The 2,246-nt window shown below is 42.8% G+C and overlaps 1 annotated feature.

Annotated features, from left to right (window-relative positions):
* Nucleotides 1,729–2,246: an enhancer, noted in NCBI's record as "OCT4-NANOG hESC enhancer chr1:77730892-77731409 (GRCh37/hg19 assembly coordinates)". NCBI's record gives its function as "activates a minimal SCP1, AML or CMV promoter by ChIP-STARR-seq in primed H9 embryonic stem cells {active_cell/tissue: H9 hESC(primed)}" and the evidence as "EXISTENCE:reporter gene assay evidence [ECO:0000049][PMID:30033119]".

The raw sequence follows: 2,246 nt of genomic DNA, 5'->3' as shown, positions 1-2,246 counted from the left end.
TAATATTCCTAAATCAACTTCCTGATCATCCCCTCTTCTCCTAGTCCTTATGAAGTTTTTTCCACCTCTGTTAATGGCAAGTGAATTCTGCCAGTTGCCTAGGCCAGAAGAAGTTTGGGGTTATTCTTGAATCTTTCTTTCATCACTCACATCCTGTTGACTGTAGCTTCAAAACGTATCCAGAATCTAACTTCTCTTCACCATCATCATTACCACCACCTTGATCCAAATACCATCATTTCTCACCTGCATTTTTGCAGTAGCCTCCTGCTGGTCTCCCTGCTTTCACTTTCTGCTGCCTGCCTCTATTCTCAACTCAGCAACTAGAGTGGTGCTGTCAAAAATTAAGTCCAATCCTGTCATTCTTTACTCAAAACCCATCACACATCAGAGAAAAACCCAAAATTATTTTACAGTGGCCAAAAGTGCCCTATGTAACCCACCCTTAAACACACACACACACACACACACACAACTATACTTCTCCACTCCTTTGTTCTAACCTCATGACCTATCTCCTACTATTCCCATCCTTCTCTGCCTTCTTCATTCTGCTTCCCTGTGATTCCCAGGTCCCTCCAGGTATGTTCTTTTCTCAGGGCCTCTCACTTGCTGTTTCTTCTGCCTGGACTGCTCTTCCCTCAAATTACCATGTGGTCTATTCCCTAACCTCCTCATGCCTTTGCTCTAATGTCCTCTTCTCGGTGGTTCCTTCCCTTCCTTGACAACCTTATTTTAAACTGTAAACCTCCTTTCCCTGACTGCCCCAGAACTTCCTATTCCTCTCTCCTGTCTTATTTTTCTATATACTGCTGATCACTACCTAACAAACTATACAGTTTGACAGTTTGTTGTTTATAGTTTCTATTGGATGGCCTTCTCCCAGTAAGAAGCTAAGTTCCAGGCCAGGCATGGTGGCTCATGCCTGTAATCCCAGCACTCTGGAAGGCTGAGGCAGGAGAATTGTTTGAGGCCAGGAGTTAGAAACCAGCCTGGTTAACATAGCAAGATCCTGTTTCTACATCCCACTCATCACCCTTTCTTCTCCATAGATCATTCAGCTTCATGTACAGCCCCTGTTGCCCCAGGTTGGTGTCTCTCCTCTGGGCTGGGTATGGGTGGTATTGCCCATCTTTCTTTGCCCTAGAGCCATGATTCTGCCAGACCAGACCCTTCTCTCTGTGCCAATTTCACAAACCAGGTTCACCGAGACAACTGTCCTGCACCCCTGTGCAGGATTTGGGGATCTTTTTTTATTACTAATTTGTTTGTAATATATATGTCATTGTATTTTAACCAATGTGGAATAGAAACTAGCTGGCCAAAATTTTACTTTGAAAACCTGCAATGAACTAAAGTCCACTTCATTATTTTTTATTCTTAGAAAAATCTCTTTTTAATTTTTGGATAAGAAGAAGCAGTGTATACTAGTTAAGAAGGCAGACTCTAGAGTCTGATGGATGGGATCTAAATCCCGGCTCTGCCCTTTATAGCAAGTCACGTATGCTCTTTGGCAAGTGACTCAAGCTCTCAATACCTTAATTTCCTCATCTGAACAATGCGGATAAAATTAGTACTACTGTAGTGAGTTGTTGTGAGTATTCAATGAGTTAATACATGCAAAGCTTGAATTGGTGTTCATTAAATGTTAGCTGTTATTATTATTGTGAAGTGGCTTCAGTGAGACCAGTGGACAAGGCAACACAGAAACAAAGTACATCTGCAGAATTTCTATAAAGATTAATTCAGGATTTTTCTTAATTTAAGCTATTTTCAAAATATACAAATAATACAACTTTCTTCCCAAATTGAAGAGAACTCTAGGCAGGGGCTTTAGCAGGAGAAGAGGAGTTCAGATAGCAAGGACATGCAGGCTGAGAAGCAGAAGTGACCACTAAGTGTGGCTGGGAGGGATGATATTGAGCTCCTCTGCACACCTGCTGTGAGGATTTAATGGGAAAAGGCACCATTGAATGAGAGTTTGACCTTCCCCTCTGTGTGTTATTCTAGGGGAAAAGAAAAGTGTAAATCCAGCTGATATAGTATGTATGCCCTGTGTGCTGAGAATCTGCAGGAGGTGAAAACTCCCAGTAAAGCTGAAGGAGACGCAATAGCAGGGTTTGGTTGCAGGAGAACCATGAGTCCCCCTGCCTCCTTGGAGCAGCAGGTGGCCCCTTACTCCATTAGGTCAAAAGAAGAATCCAGCATGTGGTCTAGCACAGGCTAGATGCTAGCCTGACATTCCA

This window comes from Homo sapiens, chromosome 1, assembly GCF_000001405.40.
Source record: "Homo sapiens chromosome 1, GRCh38.p14 Primary Assembly".
Lineage (NCBI taxonomy): Eukaryota > Metazoa > Chordata > Mammalia > Primates > Hominidae > Homo > Homo sapiens.
Note: the sequence above shows the minus strand (reverse complement) of the source record. Positions and strands in the feature narration are given on the sequence as shown.